At 38.2% G+C, this 27,726-nt stretch overlaps 1 protein-coding gene across 13 annotated transcripts in view; it reads left to right on the plus strand.

Moving 5' to 3' along the window:
* The window catches only part of KLRG1 (killer cell lectin like receptor G1), a 265,527-nt gene that overhangs the window by 27,456 nt on the left and 210,345 nt on the right, over positions 1-27,726 (plus strand). For 6 of the 13 annotated variants that reach the window (XM_017018685.2, XM_047428074.1, XM_017018684.2 and 3 more), the window contains exons 1-3: positions 12,047-12,218; positions 14,707-14,811; positions 17,620-17,789. The exons of 1 other annotated variant lie outside the window; for it this stretch is intronic. In XM_017018685.2, coding sequence (XP_016874174.1) covers positions 12,137-12,218; positions 14,707-14,811; positions 17,620-17,789 — 357 coding nt within the window. In that variant the 5' untranslated portion in view covers positions 12,047-12,136. Of the gene's footprint in view, positions 1-12,046; positions 12,219-12,712; positions 12,847-14,706; positions 14,812-17,619; positions 17,790-27,726 lie in introns of those variants that run through there. 6 more of the 13 variants (XM_047428075.1, NM_001329101.2, NM_001329103.2 and 3 more) reach the window with 4 other exon arrangements.

A 27,726-nucleotide genomic window follows, 5' to 3' on the forward strand; every position in this document is an offset into this window, starting at 1 on the left:
CACCACACCTGGCCTAGATCTTGAGTTTTAAAATCTAATCAGCCTGTATGCCTTTTGATTGGGGATTTTATTTACATTTAAAGTAACTCTTGGTAAGTGAGGACTTACTATTGCCATTTTGTTGTTTTTTGTTTTATAGTTCTTTTGTTCTTCTCTTCCTCTCTTGCTGTCTTCCTTTTTTTTATTTGATGATTTTTATAGTGAATTGCTTTGATTCTTTTCTGTAACACTTAGTGGTTACTTTGAGTCTTGAATAAAATAACTTGTTGTTAAAATAATCTATTTTGAGTTGATAATTTAATTGCATACAAATCTGTACAGTGTTGCTTCCTCTGCCTGAATTTTGTGTTTCTGTATTGTTTCAATCTCATTCTTTTGAGACAGGGTCTCACTTTGTTGCCCAGGCTGGAGTGCAGTAGCCCCATCTCAGCTCACTGCAGCCTCTGCCTCCTGGGTTCAAGCGATTCTCCTGCCTCAGCCACCTGAGTAGCTGGGATTACAGGTGTGCACCACCATGCCTGGCTAATTTTTGCATTAAGAGTTTCATTCTTTTCATAGTGTGCATTGGTTAACAAATCTTTATTTTTTTTAACTTTTATGTTAGGATTAAAACTATATGTACCACTATTACAGTGTCATATGATTCTGTGTTTGTCTATATACCTTCACCAGGAGATTTAGGCTTTCACATTGCTAGTTAGCATACTTCACATTGCTGTTTAGCATGTTTCAACTTGAAGGACTTCCTTGAGCATCTCTTGTAAGGCAGGTCTAGTGGTGATAAACTCCCTCAAGTTTTGTTTATCCAGAAAAAAGTAATTTGTCCTTCATTAAAAATTTTTGAAAATGTTATAATTTTTACATTTTTAGTATAGATGAATTCTCACTATGTTGCCCAGATGTGGGATTCAAATAATCCTACTGCCTTGGTCTCCCAAAGTCCTGGAATTACAGACATGAACCACTGCACCTAGCCTGTCCTTCATTTTTAAACAATAATTTTTCTAGGTATATCTTGGTTGGCTGTTTTCTCTTTCAGTACTTTGAATATTTTATCCCTTTCTCTTGGTCTGTGAGGTTTAGGCTGAGAAACCTACTGATAGTCTTACATGTGACAGTCTTTCTTTTTCTTTTTCTTTCTTTTCTTTCTTTCTTTCTTTCTTTCTTTCTTTCTTTCTTTCTTTCTTTCTTTTTCTTTCTTTTCTCTCTCTCTCTTCTTTCTTTCTTTCTTTTTTTTTGGAGTCTCACTCTGTCACCCAGGCTGGAGTGCAGTGGCACATTCCTGCCTCACTGCAACCTCTGCCTCCTGGGCTCAAATGATCCTCCCACCTCAGCCTCCTGAGTACCTGGGGCTACAGGTATGTGCCACTGCACCAGGCTAATTTTTGTAGTTTTAGGAAAGACAGGGTTTCACCATGTTGACCAGGCTGGTCTTGAACTCCTGACCTCAAGTGATCCACCTGCTTCAGCCTCCCAAAGTGCTGGAATTACAGGTGTGAGCCACTTCACCTGGCCTGTCTTTTTTTTTTTTTTTTAGACATATCTTGCTCTGTCACCCAGACTGGAGTGCAATGGTGCAATGTCAGCTCACTGCAGCCTGTGCCTCCTGGATTCAAGCAATTCTCCTGCCTCAGCCTCCTGAGTAGCTGGGATTACAGATGCCCATCACCATGCCTGGTTAATTTTCTTTGTATTTTTAGTAGAGACAGTGTTTCACCATGTTGGCCAGGCTGGCCTTGAACTCCTGACCTCAGGTGATCCATCTGCCTCAGTCTCCCAAAATGCTGGGATTACAGGTGTGAGACACTGCACCTGGCCTGTCCTTCATTTTTAAAAGATAATTTTTCCAAGTATAGTATTCTTGGTTTAGCTGTTTTCTCTTTCAGTGCTTTGAATATATCATCCCATCCTCCTGGCATATAAGGTTTCTGCTGAGAAATCTACTGATAGTCTTATATGTGATGAGTCATTTTTATTGTGCTACTTTAAAAATTCTCTTTGTCTTACCTTTAACAATTTAATTATAATGTGTCTAGGTGTAGACTTCTTTATGTTTAACCTACTTGGAATCTTTTAGGATTCCTGAATCTGGATGTCTATGTTCTTCCCTCAATTTGGATAGTTTTCAATTATTACTTTGTTACATATGTTTTCTGCTTCTTTCTCTATTCTCCTTGTGGGACTTCTATAATGTGTATATTGGCTTGCACATTCATGTCTCCCAAATCCTGGAGGTTTTCTTTTTCATTCTTTTTTTTTCTCCTCTGACTGGATAATTTCAAATAACCTGTGTTTGAGGTTGCTGAATCTTTCTTCTTTTGATCAAGTCTGCTGTTGAAGCTCTGTATTGTATTTTTTATTTTACTCATGTATTCTTCAGCTCTATAATTTCTGCTTTTTTTGTTTTTGTTTTTTGTTTGAGTTGGAGTTTTGCTCTGTTGCCCAGGCTGGAGTGCAGTAGTGCGATCATGGCTCACTGCAACCTCTGCCTCCCAGGTTTAAGTGATTGTCCTGCCTCAGCCTCCCAAGTGGCTGGGATTACAGGGGCCTGCCACCATGCCTGGCTAATTTTTGTATTTTTAGTAGAGACAGGGTTTCACCATGTTAGCCAGGCTGGTCTCAAATTCCTTACCTCAGGTGATCTGCCCACCTCAGCCTCTCAAAGTGCTGGGATTACTGGGATTACTGGGATTACAGGTGTGAGTCACCATGCCTGGCCCTGTTTTTTTTGTTTTTTTGTTTTTTAATGATTTCTATCTCTCTGTTGAACTTCTAGTTTTGTTAATATATTGTTTCTGATATCACTGAGTTGTCAATCTATGTTATCTTTAGCTTACTGAGCCTCTTTAAAACACTTTAACTTTGAATTCTTTGTCGGGCAATTCATAGATCTCCATTTCTTTGGGTTTGGTTACTGGAAATCTATTGCGTTTTTTGGTGATGTCATATTTTCTTAATTTTTTATGTTCCTTATAGGCTTGCAGTGGTGTCAATGCGTTTGAAACAGCAGTCACCTCTTACTGCCTGCAAGGGTAGTGGCTGGGTGAGGTGCATGGTGCACTGGGTCAGCATGGGACTGGAGACTTGTGGGGCACATATGGGCACTAGTTCTAAAGGGTGTGTCATGGCATTGGGTCTGATAGGTGAGTGCACACATGCAATGCTGGGCTTGGGGTAAATAAGCAGCATTCATCCTGGTTCCAGAGGGTGTGGCTGAGGCTCTAGCTTTGGAGGGGGTGCAGCAGTGTGAGTTCTGGGCAGCTCCATCGGCTGGTGTCAGCATTCTTGAAGACTGTGGGGGTCCTTGGCAGTTAAGGCTGTGGGTATTTGTGGCAGTGGGGATGGCTGCTAGAGTCCTGAGTGGCACAGGTTGCATGGGTTTTCCTGCTCTCCTTTTCACCTTGTGAGGAAGTCACAGCTGATGGTATTCCTCTTGTCTTTGAGCTTTGCCAGCCTGGGGAATGGGGTTACACAGGTAAAATGCTTTCTACACTTTTCTGCATGACCATCCTCAGTTTTTCTGTTTCACTGAGTTGCAGCAGCTTTTTAATTGCACTCCAGAACTCTCCCAGAGCTATTTTCATCTGTGGATAATTGCTAAATTGTTGTTTTTGTGGATATATAAGGACTGGTACATCCTAGTCTGCTCTCTTGCTGTGTTAGTCCTCTTGCTCAATCTTATTAGAAGTTTATCAGTCTTAATCTTGTCAAAGAACCAAATTTTGGCTTTGTTAATTTTTCTAGTCTTTGTTTCATGATTTTATTAATTTTCCATTTTAAAATTCTGTCTTTTCTTCTACTTACATTGGTTTTAATTTACTCTTCTTTTTTTAACCCTCATAAATTATAAACTTGGATTATTTATTAATTTTTTTCTTTTCCATTCATTTAAAACTACAGTATTTGCTGTAAGACTGTTTTAGCTGTGTTCTATATATTTTTGTATTCTATTTTCATAATCATTTAATTTAAAATATTTTAACGTTTAAAATTATTTTTTTCTTTTACCCATGGGTTATTCTTCAAAGTGGGTATTTTAATTTCCGAATATTTAGGAATTATGTCGATTTTTTCTTGTTATTGATTTCACTGTGGTTATAAAATATATCTGTAAGATTTTAATATTTTGTAATGTATTATATTATGGCTGAGTATGTAATATATCTTTGCGAACATTTTATTTACACCTAAAAACGTGTATTCTTTAATTGGTGAATGTCATTTTGTTGGGTTAATTTAATTTGGTCAAGGTGGTTGATGGTGGTGTTGAGGTTTTTTATATTATTACTGAATTTTGTTTAATAGTTTTATCAGTTACTGAGAAAAGGTTTTTAAAATATCCAACTATGATTATTGATGTTTATTTTTCTTTAACTCAGCTTTTGCTTCTGTTCATATGTTTTGAAGCTCAAAATTAGGTGCATACTTATTTATAGTTGTTATATATGCTTGATGCAATCAGTAACTCATGTAATTATGAAATGTACCTCTTTATACTCACCTATTTTTGTCTTATATTAGTATGACCACTTGTGGAAGGCTGAATAATGTCTCTCCCCACCTCAAATATGTTAACACCCTAATCCCTTCAGCCTATAATTATGTTACCTTATATGACAGATACTTTGTAGATAGGATTAAGCTAATAATCTTGAGATGGAGAGATCATGCTGGTTTGTTCACGTGGGTTCAAGGTAATTATGAGAGTCCTTATAAGAGGGAAGCAGTAGAGTCAAAGTCAGAAAACAGAGTTGTAACAATAAAAGCAGAGGTTGGAATTATATACTTCAAAGGTGGCAGAAGAATCCACAAGCCAAGAAATTTGAAATTTGGCAAAACTGATTTCCTTCTGGAGGCTTTAGAGGAGAACATTTCCTTGACTTTCCCAGAAGGAAATCAGTTCTGCCAAAACCTTGATTTTGGACTTCTGACCTACAAAACTTTAAGAAAATAAATATATGTTATGTTAAGTCACTAAGTTTGTGTTAGGTTATGTGTTACAGCAGTGATAAGAAACTAACACACCACTCCAGGTGCTTACTGTAATGTGTATATTGGTTTGCACATTGTATATATTTGTATACCTTTCTTTTAATCTGTCATTATATTTAAAGTGCATATCTTACAGCCAGAACAGACAATATCTTTTTTTTTTTTTTTTTTGAGATGGAGTTTCATTCTTGTTGTCCAGGCTGGAGTGCAATGGTGCGATCTTGGCTCACTGCAACCTCCACCTTTTGGGTTCAAGCAATTCTCCTGCCTCAGCCTCCCAAACAGCTGGGATTACAGGCACCTGCCACCACGCCTGGCTATTTTTTGTATTTTTAGTAGAGATAGCGTTTCACCATGTTGGCCAGGCTGGCCTTGAACTCATGACCTCAGGTGATTTGCCCGCCTCAGCCTCCCAAAGTTCTGGGATTACAGGTGTGAGCCACCATGCCTAGCCAGAACAGACAATATCTTTTTGGTTCTTGCTTTTTCTTCTAGTCTTACAATTTGTGCCATTTATTTGGTGCAGCAGTCCATTTATGATGAATTCAATTATTGATAAGACTGGCTTTATCATTTTGCTGTTTTTTAAAATGATTTGCCTTATCTGTTTTACTTTCTGTTTTTTTTAAAGAAATTAAGATGGGAAAAGAAAATAAATATAATTCTTTATATGTACTTATATATTTACCATTTCTGTTGCTCTTCAATGTTTTCTGTATATCTATGTTTTTATCTAGTGATACTTATTTTCTAAGAACTTCTTTTAGCATTTCTTGTAGTGCTGGACTGCTCATGACAAATTTGCTATTTTCTCTGCTCTGAAAATATTTTTACTTCCTCTTCATTTCTATTGGATACTTTTTCTGGATATAGAATTCTGTATTGGCAGTCTTACCATTTTACCTTTTTTTTTTTTTTTTTTTTTTGAGACAGAGTTTCGCTCTTGTTGCCCAGGCTGGAGTGTAATGGTGCAATCTCAGCTCACTGCAACCTCGGCCTCCTGGGTTCAAGCGATTCTCCTGCTTCAGCCTCCAGAGTACCTGAGATTACAGGCGCCTGCCACCACACCTAGCTAATTTTTGTATTTTTAGTAGAGACGGGGTTTCACCATGTTGGCCAGGCTGGTCTCGAACTGGTGAGCTCAGGTGATCCATGTGCCTTGGTCTCCTAAAGTGGTGGGATTACAGCCGTGAACCGCCGTGCCTGGCCCATTTTACCATTTTAAAGATGACATCTCATTGCTTTTCTCCTTTTTTGTTTCTGTTGAGAATTTAGCTATCATTCATGTGTTGTTTCCCATTATTAATGTGTTATTTATTTTCCTCTGGCTGTTTTCAGTATTTTCTTTTTATCTTTGGTTTTTATTAGTTTTAGATTATGTTCTTAGGAGTGATTTTCCTTCTGTTTATCTTGATGCGGATTCAGTGAGTTTCTTATACCTGTAGGTTGTATCCCAAATTTGGGGAATATTTGATCATTACTTTTTCAAATTCCTTTCCGATTTCATTATATGTCCCCTTTATTTTGGGGGACTACAGTTTCACTTTTGTTATACTATTTGGCATTGTTCATAGGTCACTGAGGTTCTGTTCATTTTTTTCTCCCATTTTTTCCCTCTATTCTTCATATTGGATTATTTTTAGCAATCTGTCTTCATGTTTACTGACCTTTTTATCTGCCCTCTTCTATTTGCTATTAATCTCATTCAGCTATTATTATTATTATTATTGAGATGGAGTCTCGCTCTGTCACCTAGGCTGGAGTGCCGTAGTGCAATCTCAGTTCACTGCAACCTCTGCCTCCTGGGTTCAAGTGATTCTCCTGCCTCAGCCTCCTGAGCAGCTGGGACTATAGGCATGTGCCGCCAGGCCAGGCTAATGTTTTATATTTTTAGTAGAGACAGGGTTTCACCATGTTGGCCAGGCTAATATTTTATGTTTTTAGTAGAGACAGGGTTTCACCATGTTGGCCAGGCTGGTCTTGAACTCCTGACCTCAAATTATCCACCTGCCCCCGCCTCCCAAAATGCTGGATTACAGCTGTGAGCCACCGTGCCTGGCCCTCATTCAGTTATTTTTAAAAATTATGAATGCTGTTCTGTTCTGGAATAGTCACTTGATTCTTTTTGGTAGTTTCTACTTCTCTGAGATTCTTCAAATTTTTATTCATTATGACTATATTTTCTTCTAAGTCTTTGAACGTATTTATGCAGATATTAAAGTCCTTGTTTGCTAGTTCCAGCATCTATGTTACATAAGTTTCTTTTCTACTTACTGACTTTTCTTTGATCCATGGCCCATATATTCTTATTTCTTTGGATTCTAATAATATTTTATTGTATGCTAGATATTAAATGTGATGCATTATGGCTAATCTGTGTTATGTATCCTCTTTTTTGAAGAAAAGTTTTATTGGGGAATAATTTCAGATTTACAGAAATGTTTTTAAGATAGCACAGAACATTTCTTTATACCTTTCACCCCATTTCCCCTAATGTTAGCATCTTAAAAAATCATGGCACATTTCTCAAATGTAAGAAATGAATATTGCTACATTGTTTGAATTTTACCAGTTTTCCACTAATGCTCTTTTTGCTGTTCCAAGATCCAATCCAGGATACCACATTACATCTAGTTGTTATATTTATTGTTTTCCTCTGGTCTATGACAGTTTCTCAGTGTTTTTTTTTTTTCGTGAACTTGATATATTTTAAGAGTATTGGTCAGATATTTAGTAGAGTACCACTCAATTTAGAATTATCTGATTTTTTTTTTGCATGTTTACATTGGATGTGTAGGGGAAAACTTTCTTCAGCTGTGTTTTTCTTCTGCTTTCACACCAGCACTACCACAATTATCAACACAGAAGAAGACTTGTGTGACCAAATGTGGTAGGGGTGTTCCCCACATACCAATTAGCAGACACCAACTGGGTATCCTCTAATTCAATTCCGACATTATCTACCTGGAGATAGTGTTAGATCTTACATTTCAGGGATTCAATATGCAAGATCACCCCCTACACCCACAGACACCAGTCACAAGTCTGGGCCTCTGGAACATCTGACCAATAAGCTTCAAGTTGGGATTTCCACAACTTCCCCTTTGAGTTCAGTTAATTTGCTGGAGCAGCTCACAGAACTCAGGGAAACCCTTATGTTTATCAGTTTATTATAAAGTATATTACAAAAGATACAGATGAAGAGAACTGTAGGGCAGGGTATGGGGAAAGGGGTGTGGAGCTTCCATGCCCTCTCTGGGAAGGCTGCTCTCCAGGAATCTCCACAGGTTCAGTCATCTGGAAGCATTCTGACACAGTTCTCTTGGGTTTTTATGGAAGCTTCAGGACATCAGCATTCTTGCTGCTGACCCCCTCCCCTTGTCACCCCAGTAAAGGGCAGGACCCTCTCTGGGGAAGGTTTTAAGACCCACAATCAGAAAGGCAGGGGAAAATTAGAGTCCTGCCTTGAGGCAGATGAAAGGAGGGCAGAAGAAGGCCAGAGGCCTTCCCCTTGGGGCCTGACACACTCAACATTATAAGAAAGGACTGTAACAGGGACCATAGGAGTTAGGAGCCAGAAACTGTGGATGAAAACCAATATATACATATGTATAATACCACCCTGGGGTTATGGATTTTGGGGAACAAACCTTACTGGTTAGGTGCTTTTATCATTGCATCATATTAGGGGGTACATGATATCAACAAGACTCATCACTGGTGGTTCACGCAGTGAACCCTGTTCATGTGGTTGAGGTGGTATTTGCCAAGATTCTTTAATGAATAGTTACTATTTCCTTTTATCCATAGTGTACTCTTTGGAAGTGAGTCTCTTATCCCTGACTACCCTCAAAGGGAGGAGAGTTAAATTCCACATCCTGAATGGGGAGTATCTACATATATTATTTGGTATTTTCTGTAAGCAAGATTTGTCACTTCTCACCTATTTATTTATTTAAATCAGTATGGATTTATATAGTTTTTCCCCTTGTGTTATAATTCAACACTGTCATTTATTTTGTTGTTCATATTGTTCCATTGGGAGCTTTTCCAGGTTGGTTTCTGTGTCCTGATATGCTCCCATCTTTTTTTTTTTAACTTGCTTATTTTTTAACATTAAAAGACTGGAAGATCCTCCAAGCTTATTTTGTACTTTCCCTGTCCTGGCCCTAGAATTAGCCATTTCTTCAAAGAGCCCCTGATTCCTATGTTGCCTTCTGATGTGGTTTGGATCTGCATCCCCACCCAAATCTGACGTTGAATTGTAATCTCCAGTGTTGGAGATGGGGCCTGGTGGGAGGTGATTGGATCACGCGGATGGTTTTTCATGAATGGTTTAGTACCATACCCCTAGAGCTGTTCTCCTGATAGAGTTCCTCACAAGACCTGGTTGTTTAAAAGTGTGTAACACCTCCCCGCGTCTCTCTTGCTCCTGCTCTGGCCATGTAAGACATTTCCCTTTGCCTTCCACCATGACTAAGTTTCCTGAGGCCTGCCCAGAAGCAGATGCCACTATGCTTCCTGTACATCTTGCAGAACTGTGAGCCAATTAAACCTCTTTTCTTTATCAATTATTTGGCCTCAGGTATTTCTTTATAGCAGTGCAAGAATGGACTAATACACCTTCCTTTTTTTAAAAAATGATCTTAATTATTTTAAAGCATACAATTCAGTAGTGTTAAGTATTATTATGGACTGAATGTTTGTCTCCCCCAGATTCACATATTGAAGCCCTAATCCTCAGTGTGACTGTATTTGGAGATGGAGTGTTTAAGGAAGTAATTAAGGTTAAATCAGGTTACAAGGGTGGGGCCCTGATCTGATAGGATTAATGTTCTTGTAAGAAGAGAGACCAGAGCCCTCTCTCTTTCTTCCCTTGTGCACACACTGAGGAAAAGCCACTTGAGGATATAGTGAGAAGTCTGCAACCCACAGGGGAAGCACTCTCCAAACACCAACTCTGCTGGCATCTTGATCTTAGACTTTCAGTCTGTGGAATGATGAAAATATAAATAAATTTCTGTTGTTTAAGTCACCTAGTCTATGGTATTTTGTTGTGATAGTCCAAGCAAGTGAATACAAGAATATTCACATTGTTGTGTACCGTATCTCCAGAACTTAATCACACTGCAAAACTGAAACCCTGTACCCATTAAGCAACTTCCTTTTCTTTTTCCCTCCAAACTTCTTTCAGTAACCATTCTTCTTTCTTTGTCTATGGGTTTGACTACTTTAGATTCCTCATATAAGTGGAATCACACAGTATTTGTCATTTTGTGATCAGTTCATTTCACTTAGTATAATGTTTTCAAGGTTCATCAGTGTTATAAAGTATGACAGGATTTCCTTTCTAAGACTAATATTCCATTGTATGTGTAGACCACATTTTGTTTGTTTTGCCTTCATATTAAGGGCGTGAAAATTTGTTCTCAGAGGCAGCTAAACTATTGATGACTCTTTTTGGCAATGTTAAGTTTTGCTCTGTTTTTGGTTGGTGCTACTAAGCAATGCATCACCTCTGTCCTTTCTGTTCAGCTCTTGGCCCTGCAGGAACTATCTCAGCTTGGACTTGCAGAGTTTTGTCCTATGTCTGCGCAGCCTAGAACTTGGCCACAGACATACAGTGAATTCCTACAGTCTTAAGGGTGCCTCTCTCTTGTGAATTATCCTGCCCTGCAAATTCCAGCCATTTAAGCAGCTCAAAACTCCAATATCTGCCTCCTCATTTTAGTAAGACTGCTGTTCTGTTTAGGATTCATTTTTGTGCTCTGTACTAGAAAGTGGTCCTAGATAGAAAGCTAGGGTGATCATTGCACTCACCTTTGTATTCTCTCAAGGATCACAATGCTGCCTGTGTGTTCCTGAAAATAGCTGCCTTGTGTGTCTTGCCATGTGTTGTATTTTGATTGGAGAGTAAGTCTAATGCCATTCTGTCATGGCTGGAAGCAGAAATATATTTGTTTTTATTAATATAAAACAAATTAATATAAAGCACTCCCTGTTTCTCTTCTTTTATCCTTATGCAGTCTATCTTGATGATCTTATCCACTCTTAAGAGTTTCAATACTCTTTCTGTTTCCTTACTTTAACTTTTGTTTTTTTTAGACGGAGTTTCACTCTTGTTGCCCAGGCTAGATAGAGTACAATGGTGCAGTCTCGGCTCGCTGCAACCTCCGCCTCCCGGTTTCAAGCCATTCTCCTGCCTCAGCCTCCTGAGCAGCTGAGATTACAGCCCCCACCACCACACCCAGCTAATTTTTTTGTATTTTTAGTAGAGACGGGGTTTCACCATGTTGGCCAGGCTGGTCTTGAATTCCTGACCTCAGGTGATCCACCCTCCTTGGCCTCCCAAAGTGCTGGGATTACAGGCGTGAGCCACCACACCTGGCCTACTCTAACTTTTTATTAACTTTTCACCTACTAAAAACAAATTACTAAGATGTTAGAATGTATTTGTTTACTTTGCTCTTCTTTTTAGTTATCTTTGCATGAAGTATAATAATAAAAAAAATAAGACAACAAAGAGAAAAAATATAATGGAATTTCTGATACTGTGAAGGGTAAAGACCATCACACAATTTGGACAAGGTTTTGGGGAAGATGTGGTCATGTCATATTCACAAAATATATCTGGGTAATAGTCTATTTCTCCCGTGATTCCAGGCATATGCACCCAACAGTCCATTTCGTTATTGCTTATCACTGCCCAAAAGTTCCAAGAAATGATGAAGTCAGTCTCATTTGGCATACATCTACTTTTTCAGAAGGAAACAAAGCAGAGAAAAAATTCCGAGAGAAATTCATAGCTAGTAACCACTCTCACTTTTATTTTAGTTTCCATAACTGAAATTGCTGGACTTGAGAGCAATTTTTCCTTGCTCAACAGAATTAGGTGAGATGGGGAATCAATTTAATATATATTTAGTGAGCATCTACAGTGTCATGGGGCAAAAAAATAGCAACTTACAATATTAATTTCTATAGGCAGCCCCCAAATTTGAATCATTTCCTGAAAAATTACTTCTGCTTTTGTGAAGTTTCCTGCTAGCAGTTTAGAGATTGGGCTGTTTCCTCACTGATACATATCCCTTCACACTTCTATAATTTAACTCTCTCAACTGCATGTGAAAGATCTTAGCTGAAGATGACTGACAGTGTTATTTATTCCATGTTAGAGTTGCCTACGGCAACCCAAGCCCAGAATGACTATGGACCACAGCAAAAATGTGAGTTAACCAAGGTAGCATGGAAGACGATGCATAGCAACAGTAGGCTATGGATGAATGGGGAGTAGAATAAGTTTAAAGCAGAGGGTGCAGAAGAATTGAGGATAATTTGAGGAAATACTTTTGGTTCAGTTTAAAGTCCAGAGTTGGAATATGAAAAGTTGGTGTATGGTACAGGATCTGATCTTAGGTCTCAGGTAAACTCTTTTCTAACTGTTCACTTCTTTGATCGCATCTTAGAAACCCAACTTAGGGCATTGCCGTTATTCCTTCTTGCTCTTAGCTAAAGCGGGAACTTTGTTGGGAGAATTTTATCTCTTTAGTTATATTCGGAGTAACCTTGGACCAGCTGTTTAAATTCTAGGTATGGCTGTTTTTCTGACTATGGAATGAGGAGGACACCAATAGTTTTGCTGGTGGATACGAGTAAGATTTTTGTCAGGAAAGAAACTGATTTACATATCTAGTTTTGTTTTTTTTTTTTAACTTCACAGTGTTGCACTAGAATGGTGACAGGGAAGAAAAAGTATCAAGAAACTACAGATAATAGTCTCTGTGACTGAGGATTTGAAGGCAAAAGAGCCATTTTTACATAGAGCCCTGAGAGAATATTATCTGAGACAGACAGGTAATAGTGTAAATGCCAAAATTAATCCTTGATTTTGTATCGTAGGCAGTGAACTCCCACAAGGTGTATTCTTTAGGGTAGTTCCCTAAGCTTTCTCTCTTTTTACTACATAGTTTTACTATTATAATTTTTAATGTCTTTTGAGAGTGTTGCCTTAATTTGCTAAATCATTCTAGTATACTTGGGATATTTAGACCTATTTCTATTACCATAAATTATATAGCATTGGATATCTTTATTTGTGTAACCTTTTCCTATTTTTGAATTGTATCTATGTTAATTTCTAAGGAATAGAAATATTACGTTAGAAGTAATGCATATCTCAAAGTATATGTTCAAGGTCACACACACAACTGGTGATAAATTGGAACCTAGTTGGAACTATTTAGAGGCTTTCAATATATACTTAAAGTAAATTTTAAAAATTTACTTTACTTCTTGAATTGGCTTGTGGTTACACAAATTCAATTATGGTTTGATACCTTTTTAAAATTTAGCATAACATAAAAATGAACATTTGTGTATTTCATTAAATGTTCTCCTGTGATGCAAATGTATTTTTAAAAGTTTTTCTAGAAATCTTAATGCTTTTGGATTCATCAGTCCAAATATTTATTATGCAGAATTCTCTATTTATGAAGGCATCTCTCATTATGAATTTTTTTCTTTAAGAAGTTCAGAATACTCCATAGATACACACATATATAGAATAATTTATCTAAAATTTAATCAGAAAATTGAAGCCCAAATAGGCAAGTTTAATTTCCTAATTAAATGTTATTAAGCAAAGGAATCAAAATTAGAAGTTAAATATCATCTTACTTCACAGAGTTTTGCTCGTTACACGTAATTTCTACACTATTGCACTATGAGATACCTTTGATTTTAAAATAAAGATTTGCTGAAAATACTTCCATTTTTCAAATTTAAAATTTAGATTTCGGTTGTATGCAACACAGCTAACATGAAGTAGTGTCCTATTCTTAAACTTGGCATCAACTTAAACTTACTGCTCTTTTAATAACGACAGTTTACAAAGCACTTCTGAAATGTAGATTATTTTTATTTAAATTTTATGTATTTCAATTTCGAGTAGATAATATGTTTACATGGTTCAAAATTCAAAAGGTACAAAAGAAAATAGGGTAAAAAGTCTTTTTCCTATTTTGTCTCCAGTGACTGTTTTTTCCATTCCAGAGGCAAACAATGTTATCAGATTCTTGAGTGTGCTTGCAGAGATATTTGTATATCCTGTTCTGCAGAATGTTTCTTTGTCTTGACTATATATCTTACAAAATATTCCATATCAGTTAAAAAAAAAGCCAGTTTTTATTAGAAGCTATATATTCACTTTATGGATATATCAAAAATGTATTTGACTGGCCTTTTACTGATAGAATGTAGATTGTATTCAGTCTTCTCCTCCTACAAATATTGCTGCCACGAATAAATATGACATTTTGCACCCGCGAGTATCTGTAGGAAAAATTTCTTAAGGAGAAATTTCTAGGTCAAAGGGTACATGCCTTTGCCGTTTTGGTAGATATTGCCCAATTGTCCTCCAAAGAGGTACCAATTTGTATTCTCACCACCTAAGTATGAGACAGTGTAAGTCACAGTTTCAAAGGAAAAAAGCATTCTTTATCTTGATAAATATAGTAAGTTCTTTGATACAGGTGTTGGTGGTTACCTTAGACTTTAGAGCAAGTTCCTGACACATCTAGAAAAGGAATCTTTATGGCCTGGATCTCAGTTCCCACTAGGCCAAATTGCTTTAAGATGCGATATCCTTCCCTGACTTTCTCTTTTCTTTCAACCTGTCATCTGACTCAGGATTGTGCTTTGACTCTGTTGTTGCAGCTTCCTCTTCCAGGCCTTCTTGTTCTTGCCTTGTGGCAATAGCTTTGGGGCTTCTGACTGCAGTTCTTCTGAGTGTGCTGCTATACCAGTGGATCCTGTGCCAGGGTAAGTGCAAACTTAAACCAAAATTAATCTTTCATTTTATATTATAAAAGCAATATAACATAGCAGAAGCTTTGAAAAATCAAAAAATAATTCAAACAAAATAACTCTCCATCTGTATACAGCTATTTCCTGGGTATAGCCTTTGACCATGTGCACTTGTGTAAGCTTGTATTTTCTTTTTTCTTTTTGTTTTTTGAGACAGGGTCTCCCTCAATCAGCCAGGCTGTAGGTGATAGATTTGTGTGCTGCTATACCAGCGGATCCTGTGCCACTGTACAGTCACAGCTCACTGCAGCCTTGACCTCCTTAGGCTCAAGTGATCCACCTCAGCCTCTCGAGTAGCTGGGACCACAGGCACATACCACCATGCCTGGCTAATTTTTGTATTATTATTATTATTTTTTTTTTTTTGTAAAGACATTTCACCATGTTGCCCAGGCTGATCTCAAACTCCTGGGCTCAAGCCATTTGCCCTTCTTGGCCTCCCAAAGTGCTGGGATTATAGGTGTGAGCCACTGCACCTGACCATATTTTCTTAATAGAACTGCAGTCAAGTCCTCTTAAAATTTCTCCCACCTTTCTTTCTTTTAATGCAAGGCTGAGAATAGTTCTTATCGTAGTATGCTCATAATTTTGTATATTGCTTTTTAATTTTATGTTGCCAGAAACATTTCCTTACTGCCATATTTATTGGGATGATTGAATTATAATATTAATGATGTTTAACTTTTCACATAATAGATATATCATAATGTAATGAAACATTCTGAATTTTTTTTTTTTTTTTTTTTGCCATTCAGGTGCTTTCACATTTTCTAAAACTAATTTTTAAGTTTAGTTCTTCTAGGACCTTAAATCTGGTGATCTAGAGGACTCTCAGTTTGTTGTTTTACAGTCTAGAGTCCTAGCTTAGGTTTATATTTTTAGGGGATGATAGTGACCGATTACACAGAAGTGATTTATTAGGGTTCTTTTTTAAATTTTTTTAAAAATTTTGAGACAGAATCTCGCAATGTTGTTTGGGCTGGAGTGCAATGGCGTGATCTCGGCTCACTGCAACCTCTGCCTCCCAGGTTCAAGCGATTCTCATGCCTCAGCCTCCCGAGTAGCTGGGATTACAGGCACCTGCCACCACGCCCAGCTAATTTTTTGTATTTTTATTAGAGACGGGGTTTCACTATGTTGGCCAGGCTGGTCTCGAACTCCTGACCTTGTGATCTGCCCGCCTTGGCCTCCCCAAGTGCTGGGATTACAGGTGTGAGCCATTGCGCTCTGCCGATTTATTAGGATTCTAAGAGTTCAGCTCCAGGGCTTCTACCTCAGAGCCAAGTCCGACCTTTGACAAAAAGGAACTCCTAGGGAAGTTGGGAATTTCTAATCCAGGCTGAGTAATGTCACAGTTGTATGGAAAAAGCAAAATCTATAAGGTGCCAATTTAACAGCTTGATCTCCAGAACTTATATTGGTTGTATGCCAGTACTTCCTAGAGAACAATTATCTAATATTTATATGAAAAATACTACTTTCCCCACTTTGTAACTCCCAAATCTAGAGTAGATATATACTCTATTCTGCAATTATATATCTACACATGTGCTCATGGAGTATAATGGCTCATACTTGCTCACTGTAGAATTGTGCTTATGGCGAGTTTATGCACATATGTTTAAGTATTGAAACTGAAGTAGAAAAATCAATAGAATTTTGGAATCTTGGTTGGAATTACCTTGAAAGCATATTCAGTTCCCTTTCATCTTTGATTGTTTGTTTTTGAGACAGTGTCTTGCTCTGTCGCCCAGGCAGGAGTGCAGTGGTGTGATCTTGGCTCACTGCAACCTCTGCCTCCTGGGTTCAAGTGATTCTCATGCCTCAGCTCCTAAGTAGCTGGGATTACAGGCGGGTGCCACCATGCCCAGCTGATTTTTTTGTATTTTTAGTAGAGATGAGGTTTCACCATGTTGGCTAGACTGATCTTGAACTCCTGGCCTCATGTGAGCCACCTGCCTCGGCCTCCCAAAGTGCTGGGATTACAAGAGTGAGCCACCATGCCTGGTCAGTTCCCTTTCATCTTGACAGAACTATGAACCAACCATTTTAAAGGAATGTGGATCTTCCGTATTTAAAAGAGCTCGGTTAGGGCATTCTATCACTTTTCACTTTAGCACCTGTTATGCTTCTCTGCCAGAAAACCCTTTTGAAAAATATCAAAGTAAGTTCTTTTTGCTGAGGTATAAGGGTTTTTTTCCAGTTTTCAATGGTGAGGGACAGTTACATCTGTGATAATAAAAAAGCAAAACCTTTCATTCTAGTTAAGTTTGCTTTTCCTAATTTCTTTTTGGCATTTTCAGTTGGGCATTCTGAATGATTCTGCCTGATTTAAGCAATATACATTATGCAATTATGCAATATATACACAGAGCAAAGACAGTACACAGATGCATATCATATGAATTCACAGTTATCTGGTGTGTGTATATTACATGTGCACAGAGATCTCTAGCACAAGTCAAGTACTTGCTCCAGAGTTTTCAGGCAGATTGTTGTATGCTTTCTTCTTTGTTCCTTCAGTTATAGTCATATTCTTGTGTAGTGGAATATATACTTAGTAGATGATGGAGTTGGACATTATGAGGACATTATGAGGTATTCAAATTGACACCACGCATTGTTACACATTTCTCTAACCCTTAATCTGAAAAGTGGTGGAGCAGGGAAGACCCAGGGCTGCCATATTCCATTTTATCTCCCATTTCATTTCCAAGACTGAGTGGTCCATAAAGATGTGAACCAGGTCCTCTTCTCTCCTAGGCTCCAACTACTCCACTTGTGCCAGCTGTCCTAGCTGCCCAGACCGCTGGATGAAATATGGTAACCATTGTTATTATTTCTCAGTGGAGGAAAAGGACTGGAATTCTAGTCTGGAATTCTGCCTAGCCAGAGACTCACACCTCCTTGTGATAACGGACAATCAGGAAATGGTAAATGCAAACATTTAGAAAATGTAGGGTTTTTGTTTTGTTTTTGTTTTTGTTTTTAAACTGCTATTTAAATGTATCATGTATCCTCTTTTAAGGAACAGAAGGAATCTGTGATTTGGGGGGGATACTATATTCTTCCCCTTCCCTCTTCTTCTCTTTCCTCTTCTACTTCTGCCTTCTTCCCTCTCCCTCCCCACTCTTTACCCTTATGCTGTCTGACCCAACAAACCTCAGTTACAGCAACCCAGATGCTTGTATAGCATGTAAGTGTGTATGTGGGGCAAGGAGGCAGAAGGATGGTGAGTGTTTTGGAGAGGAATGAGACCTGAAATACAGGTCTAGTTAAAAGAAGTCTTAGGTCCGGAAACCTACAGGTCCAACAACAAGGCAGCAGATTCTTTTTTTTTTTTTTTTGACAGAGTCTCCCTCTGTCATCCAGGCTGGAGCACAGTGGTGTGATCTTGGCTCACTCCAACCTCCGCCTCCCAGGTTCAAGCGCTTCTCCTGCCTCAGCCTCCCAAGTAGCTGGAACTACAGGCGTGTGCCACCATGCCTGGCTAATTTTTTGTATTTTTAGTAGAGATGGGATTTCACCATGTTAGCCAGGATGGCCTTGATCTCCTGACCTTGTGATCTGCCCGCCTCGGCCTCCCAAAGTGCTGGGATTACAGGCATGAGCCACCGTGCCAGTCCTTATATAGTGGAACTTGGGAGGGAGGGAAAGATAGAGATCACGGGGACAGAGTGATTGTGGCAAGGGCTTAAATGCCTTCTTTTAAAAAGTTTTCCCTTAATTCACTGGAATCCAATAAGTTCCAGACTGCAATGTTGAGAAAGTTGGGATATAAGGAAGAAAACACGCGTGCACGTGCATGTGTGTGTGTGTGTGGTGGCCTCCACTTCCTTCAGGCCCCTCAGATCCTTCCTATCCACCCAGCAATCTCTTGGAAAAGAGCTTGCTATTGGTCCTAGACCATCTCAAGGCAATACAAGGAACTGACATCCTGAGGTTGCCTAGTATAAAAATCAATCAAATTCTAATTTGTCAACATAAATAACATCTATAAGGAAAACAAGAAATCTTAGTTTTGTGTTAGTGCTAATTTGATACTGATTTTTGTGTTTTGCTATTGTTTTCTGTTTTCTTTTATTGGGTAGGATCTAGTCACAGAGAACAATTTATTGAGAATTAAACTATATTAACTTACCTTGGGAAAAATCCAGAGGTTACTCTAAAGCAGTGGGGGAGAACATATAGTTCCTAAATTTTATAGCTACCTATATAACTACCTATATAAAGCATACAGATTCTTGTTTTCTGCCAAAGGAACACTTACTCCTTTGGAATTCCACATAGAATCTAAACTCTAAATCATTCCACATTTGTGACTAACTTTTTTTTTTAAAGCCTTCTCTAAGTGAGGTGGCAGAATGCATTGAGTTGTATTAATTAAACATGAGTTCTTAGTTTTATGGCCTCCAGCAATATAGCCTTGCTTTCTGGACCTTGTTGTAGCAACTCCTATTCTCATTCTGATATAGTGACTCTCAGGATTTGAGCTGACTAAAGTCAGTAGCAGAAGTGAGCCATGAACTTGAAACATTGAGGGCAAAACTGATAAACAGGAGTCGTGAGTCATAGCACAAGACACTGCCACAGAAAATTGTGGTGTAGCAGCTGCTATAAATTTCACAGTGTGATCATGAGAGGTGAGGAGGGAAAGGATGAAGGGCACAGAATATCTGGGAAAATGGCAATATTTCTGTTTCTCTGAGGAACCCAGAGGAAGGGCAGGATCATTAGAGGGATTTTGTCCTTCCTCTGCTTCCTGACATGCCCCCATTCCTTAGACTATTGTTGAGTAAAACCAGCAGAGTTACATTCACTGCATTTCCAAATTGAGTTTATTTTCTCCTAAGGCTCCTTGGGGCCAAGTCAGTGCTGGAGAGGGCGGAATGTCCCTGCTAGATGTCATAAGTTTTACTTTTAACATTCCTGTGGAATCTTACTTGATTCTCTGGTTTAATTCTTTTTCTTGCTCCGGCTTTTGTCAGATTCTGTAGAACCAAATTGATTTTACGTGCCCTGCTGCGTCTGTTGTTCTAGTGTTATTATTCTTTTGTTCTCAGGGCAAGATTTACATACTATTTTGAGGTATGTACAATGTTTCTAGTATCATACTGGGGTCTGAGCCACTACCAAAAAAGCAAGAAGTAAAAATAAAAAAGAGAGCTCTATGGATCTATTAAAACTGAAGTTTTTCAAACTGACATTCCATTGGTGGAGAGTGCTGCTAGAGAATTTTGTTGCTATATGTAGAATCTACAGGCCTATGGAAAATATCCCTCTTATGCTGTTAAACGGTCATCTTTCAGTGAGATGCTTACGTAGAGTTCACCTCCTATCTTAGATCACTTACGGCAAAGTGTACAATAATAACAGAGGCTACCATGGATTGAGCACTTGCTTTTTGCCAGATGTTTTATGTATAGTATTCTTTTTTTTTTTCTTTTTGAGATGGAGTTTTGCTCTTGTTGCCCAGGCTGAAGTGCAGTGGCACAATCTCGGCTCACTGCAACCTCTGCCTCCAGGGTTCCAGCAATTCTCCTGCCTTAGCCTCCCAAGTAACTGGGGTTACAGGCGCCTGCCTCCACGCCCGACCTTTATGTATAGTATTCTTAATCGTCACAGCAATTCTAAAAAGTAGAGTTCAACATCCCCATTTTGTTGGTGAATGAATAAAATTCAGAGGAATTGGCTGGGCATAGTGGCTCCTGCCTGTAATCCCAGCACTTTTGAGAGGCTGAGGTGGGTGGATCACTTGAGGTCAGGCGTTCGAGACCAGCCTGGCTAACATGGTGAAACCCCATCTCTGCTAAAAATACAAAAATTAGCTAGGCGTGCTGTTATGCACCTGTAATCCCAGCTTCTTGGGAGGCTAAGGCACCTGAATCGTTTGAACCCAGGAGGTGGAGGCTGCAGTGAGCTGAGACTGCACCACTGCACTCTAGCTTAGGCAGCAGAGTGAGACACTGTCTCAAAAAAAAAAATTCGGAGAATTAATGAGTGTAAGTCTAAGGCTACAAATCTGGCAGAGCCAAATTTTAAATTCTACTCCAGTGGGCATGGTGGCTCACACCTGTAATCCTAGCACTTTGCGAGGCCATGGCAGGTGGATTGCTTGAACCCAGAATTCAAGACCAGCCTGGGCAACATGGCAAGACCCTGCCTCTACAAAAAAATACAGAAATTAGCTGGGTGTGGTGGCGCACACCTGTGGTCCCAGCTACTCGGGAGGCTGAGGTGAGAGAATCCCCTGAACCCAGGAAGTAGAGGCTGCAGTTAGCCGTGATCACACCACTGCACTCCAGCCTGGGCAACAGAGCGAGACTCTGTCTCAAAAAAAAAAAAAAAAATCCACATCAACTCACCTTCAAAGTCACTTATAGAAATATCGTATTTGACAGCTTCCAGAATCCATTTTGCATATGTTCAACAAGACAACTTTTTCTACTAATTGTCTTCTGGTTTCTTTTCTATACATATTTAAAAATTTTTTTGAATTGACATACAGAATGTACATTGTATGACCGTGGATATTTAAATTTATTTATTGTGATGAGGTCTCACTATGTTGCCCAGGCTGGTCTTGAACTCCTGGGCTCAAGTGATCCTCTCGCCTTGGTCTCCCAAAGTGCTGGGATTATAGGCTTAAATATATTTAAAATAGTGAGATGCTTTCTTATTATCTCTTTTTTTTTTCTATCTGGGACTTCAAGATTATTCTTGATAGAGAAAATAAAATGGAAATTAAATTTCTCTGTTATTTTCTCATTTTTGTGTTAACATTATGGCATCAGCCCTTGCTTCTTCTTGCCCTATGAGTATATCTTTAGATGTTTGGATATATTCAAATTCTTGATTTTTCTTGCCATTTTTCCCCCACCAAGCTCAGTTCATCCTGGATGTTGTTAGCCTGGTTCCTTATAGTTATTGGTATGTTATTTTAAAGTATGCATTCGTTAGTGAGTTCCCAGTGAAACTGCTTTGATTTCTTTAAATCTATTCTGATGCTCCTTGCCCTATAATATCTCTCTTCCTCATTATCATAATTTGGAATTATATGATCCAACTTTACTCTTGCAACAACCTCTCATTCAACTTTACCTATCTTCCTGACCTTGGGATTCCCCGAGCTTTTGATGTCGGCTTCTCACATATTTAGGATTTACATCTAATAATATCCAAAGTTTCCTTCTTTGGGTGCAGCAATGCAAACACTATGGTAACATGGTCACTTTTCTGTATATTTTTAATCAGGTAATGAAAACAGCTTGGTTTCTTTCAGACAGTCATGAGTGTGCTTTTACTATATTTCTTACTAGCTATGCGAACTTCAACAACTTTCTTAACCTTTTTGACTCTCAGTTTCCTCATGTACAAAGTGAAGATAAAACTTTCTAGACTGTCCGGGCGTGGTGGCTCACGCCTGTAATCCCAGCACTTTGGGAGGCCGAGATGGGTGAATGATTTGAGGTCAGAAGTTCAAGACCTGGCCAACATAGTGAAACCCCATCTATACTAAAAATACAAAAATTAGCTGGGTGTGGTGGCACGTTTCTGTAATCCCAGCTACTCAGGAGGCTGAGGCAGGAGAATCACTTGAGCCCCGGAGGCAGAGGTCTCAGTGAGCCGAGATCAGGCCACTGCACTCCAGCCTGAGAGACAGAGTGATACTCTGTCTCAAAAACACAAAAAACTCAAAAAACAATATAAAGCCCAGAGCCAAAAATAACTTTTACTTTGCTCTTCTGTGTCCCAAGACATACAATTTCAGTAAAATATGCATCACAGAGTAAATTATGACTTGTTGAATTGAGTATATTGTTTATGAGGAAATCTGAGATGACATGTCAGAAGATTCAAAGAAATGGCTGGAAACACAGCATAGATGGTAGGGGAATTGCTTTACTCTGGAGGTCTTCACAGTCTGGTAATGTGCATCTTTTGTCACGCTTCTTTATAATCAGATTAAGCAGCTAGTGTCAACTGCATAACAAGGGATGGGCATGATAAGCTAGGATATTTCCACTATTTTTTAACTTAAAAAATTGTGGGAAAATATGCATAGCATAAAATGTACTATTTTAACCATTTTCAAGTGTACAATTGAGTGGCATTAAGTACATTCACATTGTTGTACAACCATCACTACCATCATCTCCAGAACTTTTTCATCATCCCCAGTTGAAGCTCTGTACCTCTTAAACAATAACTCCCCTCCCTCTAGCCCCTGGTAATCACTATTCTACTTACCATATCTATGTATTTGCCTATTCTGTCCTTTAGTGTCTCACTTATTCACTTAGAACACTGTTTTCAAGGTTCTTCCGTGTTGTAGCATGTATCAAAGTTATGGCTGAATAACATTCTATTATATGGATATACTACATTTTGTTTGTCCATTTATTCATCAGTGGATACCTGGGATGCTTCAACCTTTTGACTGTTGAGAGTAAGGCTGCTGTGAATTTGGATATCCATCTATTGACAGACACTGTTTCCACAAGCTTTTAAAAAGTGGAGCAAATGATGGTTTACGGAGCAGGGCTTACTGACTTTTAGCATTGTGTACTTACACAAAATTATAGGGAAAATTCTTATTGATATTAAGCTCTAGTAATTTGTAACCTGTCAGATTTTCCTTTGAAATTTCTTAACGTTATTTGCATGTTTTTAGATGATGGTAATTAATGTGTTCATATTATAGGATATCTGAAAAGTCTGGAAACAGGCTAAACTTATTTTTAAACAGTATGTTGGTTACATTTTCAAGTAATATGCTCTATATTTTTACTCAATCTTGAGACATGTTTTCAAGTGAAACATCTCTAAATTTAAAGCAATAGATATAATTATTTTTAGACCTTATGAGTACTCTGTATTGTAAATTTTTTTCAAATTAGTAATTACATCCTTTGCTTTAAATACTTCACCTGAAAAAGTGTCTGAAGAAAAACATATTAATGATATTATTTTAAAATATGAGACTGTAGGGTTCCCCAGTGCCTGGCTTTCTTTCTGTGTATTGGCTGAAAATCGCAGAGGGCCTTGACCGCTCTGTGACCCGCCCAGCTACAGGTTTTTCCCCTGCAGGCTCTACCCAAACCCCAGCCTTGAACATTTCCAGTCACTGATAAAGGTATCTAGGTTGCTGCTCAAAACACTGAAATAAACTAGCCCCAGCCCTAAGTCAGATTCCTTAAACCCTCATAAAATCTCCATCTCTGACCCCCTGGCCGTGGACATATGTAGGTCAAATGCTCCTTTTCTCTGGCTGTCCATCGTGAGTGTTGCTGCAGCCCTCTGTAACTTCCCCTAATAGATGCTTTGCACAGATCACCTTGACATTTAGTGCTTTATTCTATGGTATCCCAACCAACCCCATCTCATGATGATTTGGGGTCCTCCCTTGTGGGAATTCCCCTGTCGCTGCTTTTGGGATGATTTCAGCCATGGGTTTGGTGGGACAAAACAGAGATATACTGCCTAAAAATACATTTATCCTATGTTTTTAGGTGTTTTGGAACCCATTATTTTGTATTCTGCTTTTATCAAATAGCATTATTTCATTCTTGGTTTTTGCTAAGCATTAAATTATTCCAGGTAATAAAAAGTTGCAACCAGATTTTATTTTATTTTTTATTTAGTTTTAAATATTATTTTTATACGTCTTGCATCATTCCACTATTGCTTAAATCTTTTCATATTCTTAGATAAAATTCTCCTTGTTTTCAATTGTCATGAGCTGTGAGCATATTTATAGAAATCATTTTGCTTGCAGTTATTTATTTACATTATATTCCCTAAAATTAAGTTGGCTAATCAAAAGATAAGATTTTATAGTTTTGATGTATTATTAGTTTTTCTTAATATGGGTTGAAATAACTTACATACATTCTGTAAACCATTTTAATTTGGAAGTTTAAGGGGTATGCTTTGTGCCTTAATGATATTTTAATTTCAATTAAAAATACTACATACAGAAGTGTATGTGGAAGGTATAAATGTTGAACTAAAAAAGCAAAAAAGGAAAAGAAAAGAAAAAGTGCCCTTGATTTTATTTGTTTGGGTTTTATCTTCACTTTGCTTTTAGGGTTTGCATTTTTTCTAAAATATAAGCAAACATTACAAACTCTAAGTGACATAACACCTAAGTGTTCTAGCTCACACCCTCTCTGGGTGACAAGAGTTCTCAGTTACCACCTTTACCTATACTTTTGTTGTTGTTGTTGTTGTTGTTGTTTGAGACTCTCACCCAGGCTGGAGTGCAATGGCACAATCTCATCTCACTGCAACCTCCACCTCCTAGGCTCAAATGACCCTCCTGTCTCAGCCTCCTAAGTAGCTGGGACTACAGGCATGTGCCACCATGCCCAGCTAATTTTCATATTTTTTGTATTAATGGAGTTTTGCCATGTTGCCCAGGCTGGTCTCGAACTCCTGGGCTCAAGAGATTTTCCTGCCTTGGCCTCTCAAAGTGCTGGAAGTACAGATGTGAGCCACTGCACCAGACCGATTTGTACTTTCATGCTGCTTCTATATTCTCTCTCTTTCTAATACACACACACACACACACACACACACACACACACATTATCCATGAGTACATAGAATATAAGGTTATTGTACTATGGTTTTGAAGGCCTCTTCCAAGTGGGAAGATTTTCGAGTGAAAGTGCCATAATAAACATTTTCAATATCCAGCCTCACCAATGAGAAGTTGTAAGAGGACTGACTGATCAAGTGATTTAGAATTATATGGGTCTTGAGGGTAGTAAATGAGCACAGGATTGGGGTTTGTACGTGGGCATTACCTAATCCTAGCTCTGCAGATTCTAACTGAAATTTCTGAGCAAATCTTTATCAATTTCTGTGCTTCATTAGCTGCCGTTCCTCCTCTTGAAATGAAAGAAAAAGAAATGGACTGTTTTTCTCATTATCAGTGGAGAAATGGGGAATCACTCTTTTTTTCCTTTTGTTAATTTTATTTATTTTTTCAAATATTTAGCTTACAATTTTTGATTTGAATATACTCAAATTTTATATACTTTGAATGCAGTAACATTTATTTTTGAATCTTTTAGATCATGGCTATCATTCACACCAATTTTGTGAAAATATTAAAAAAAATCCATTCTTTTTTTCCTAATTTAAATAATTCTTTAAACAAGTTGGTTAAGAAATGCAAAAATTTTAAGCTATCTTGAAAATTACAGTGTCATTTCATCTGTCGTATACTTCATTCACTCTCCGGTCTACCTTCTTACCCCCAGCATGCACAGTTAAGTGCTCCACAGAGAGAAAGTAAAAAATACAGAGTTTGTGTTCAGAGGGTTTTTTTTTTCTTTTTCTTTTTTATTATTATTATACTTTAAGTTTTAGGGTACATGTTCACAATGTGCAGGTTAGTTACATATGTATACATGTGCCATGCTGGCGTGCTGCACCCATTAACTCGTTATTTAGCATTAGGTATATCTCCTAATGCTATCCCTCCCCCCTTCCCCCACCCCACAACTGTCCCCAGAGTGTGATGTTCCCCTTCCTGTGTCCATGTGTTCTCATTGTTCAATTCCCATCTATGAGTGAGAACATGCGGTGTTTGGTTTTTTGTCCTTGCGATAGTTTACTGAGAATGATGATTTCCAATTTCATCCATGTCCCTACAAAGGACATGAACTCATCATTTTTTATGGCTGCATAGTATTCCATGGTGTATATGTGCCACATTTTCTTAATCCAGTCTATCATTGTTGGACATTTGGGTTGGTTCCAAGTCTTTGCTATTGTGAATAGTGCCACAATAAACACACGTGTGCATGTGTCTTTATAGCAGCATGATTTATAGTCCTTTGGGAATATACCCAGTAATGGGATGGCAGGGTCAAATGGTATTTCTAGTTCTAGATCCCTGAGGAATGGCCACACTGACTTCCACAATGGTTGAACTAGTTTACAGTCCCACCAACAGTGTAAAAGTGTTCCTATTTCTCCACATCCTCTCCAGCACCTGTTGTTTCCTGACTTTTTAATGATTGCCATGTGTTCAGAGAGTTTTAACTTCTTGCAGCATAATACCTAATTGTGTGTTCTTTATTTCTATAGATACTTATTAAACATAATTTTTTAAAAAAGAGATGGGATCTTGCTCTGTTACCCAGGCTGGAGAGCAATGGCATGATCACAGCTCACTTTAGCCTCAAACTCCTGGGCTCAAGTGATCCTCCTCCCTGCCTCTGCCTCCCAAGTACATGTCACCAAGTACAAGCACATGCCACCATGCCTGGTTGGCTACATTTTTTACTTTTCGTAAAGATAGAGTGTTACTATGTTGTCCAGGCTGGTCCTGAACTCCTGGCCTCAAGTAATCCTCTCACCTTGGCCTCCCAAATTGCTGGTATTACAGGCAGGAGCCACTGTGCCTGGTCTGCATTTATTGAGTATAATTTTATATATTTTTCTAGGTGCTAGGGATATGGTAGTCAAGAGTTGTTGCTATTATAATGTTTACATTTTATTTATTATTTTTAAGGAAAATGATATTTTAAATTTAGTTTTGTTATTAACATTTTTTTAAATTGGCACATAATAATTATATATATAGGGTATTTATCCGAAGGAAATAAAATCAGTATGTTGAAGAGATATGTTCACTCTCATATGTATTGTAGCAATATTGACAATAGCCAAGATATGAAATCAACCAAAATGTTCAACAACAAATAAATGGATAAATGAAACTAACACAAGAACAGAAAACCAAACACCGCATGTTCTCACTTATAAGTAGGAGTTGAACAATGAGAACACATGGACACAGGGAGGGGAACATCACACACCGGGCCTGTCGGGGGGTGGGGGGCAAGGGGAGGG

Source organism: Homo sapiens, chromosome 12, assembly GCF_000001405.40.
Source record: "Homo sapiens chromosome 12, GRCh38.p14 Primary Assembly".
NCBI classification, from domain to species: Eukaryota; Metazoa; Chordata; class Mammalia; order Primates; family Hominidae; genus Homo; species Homo sapiens.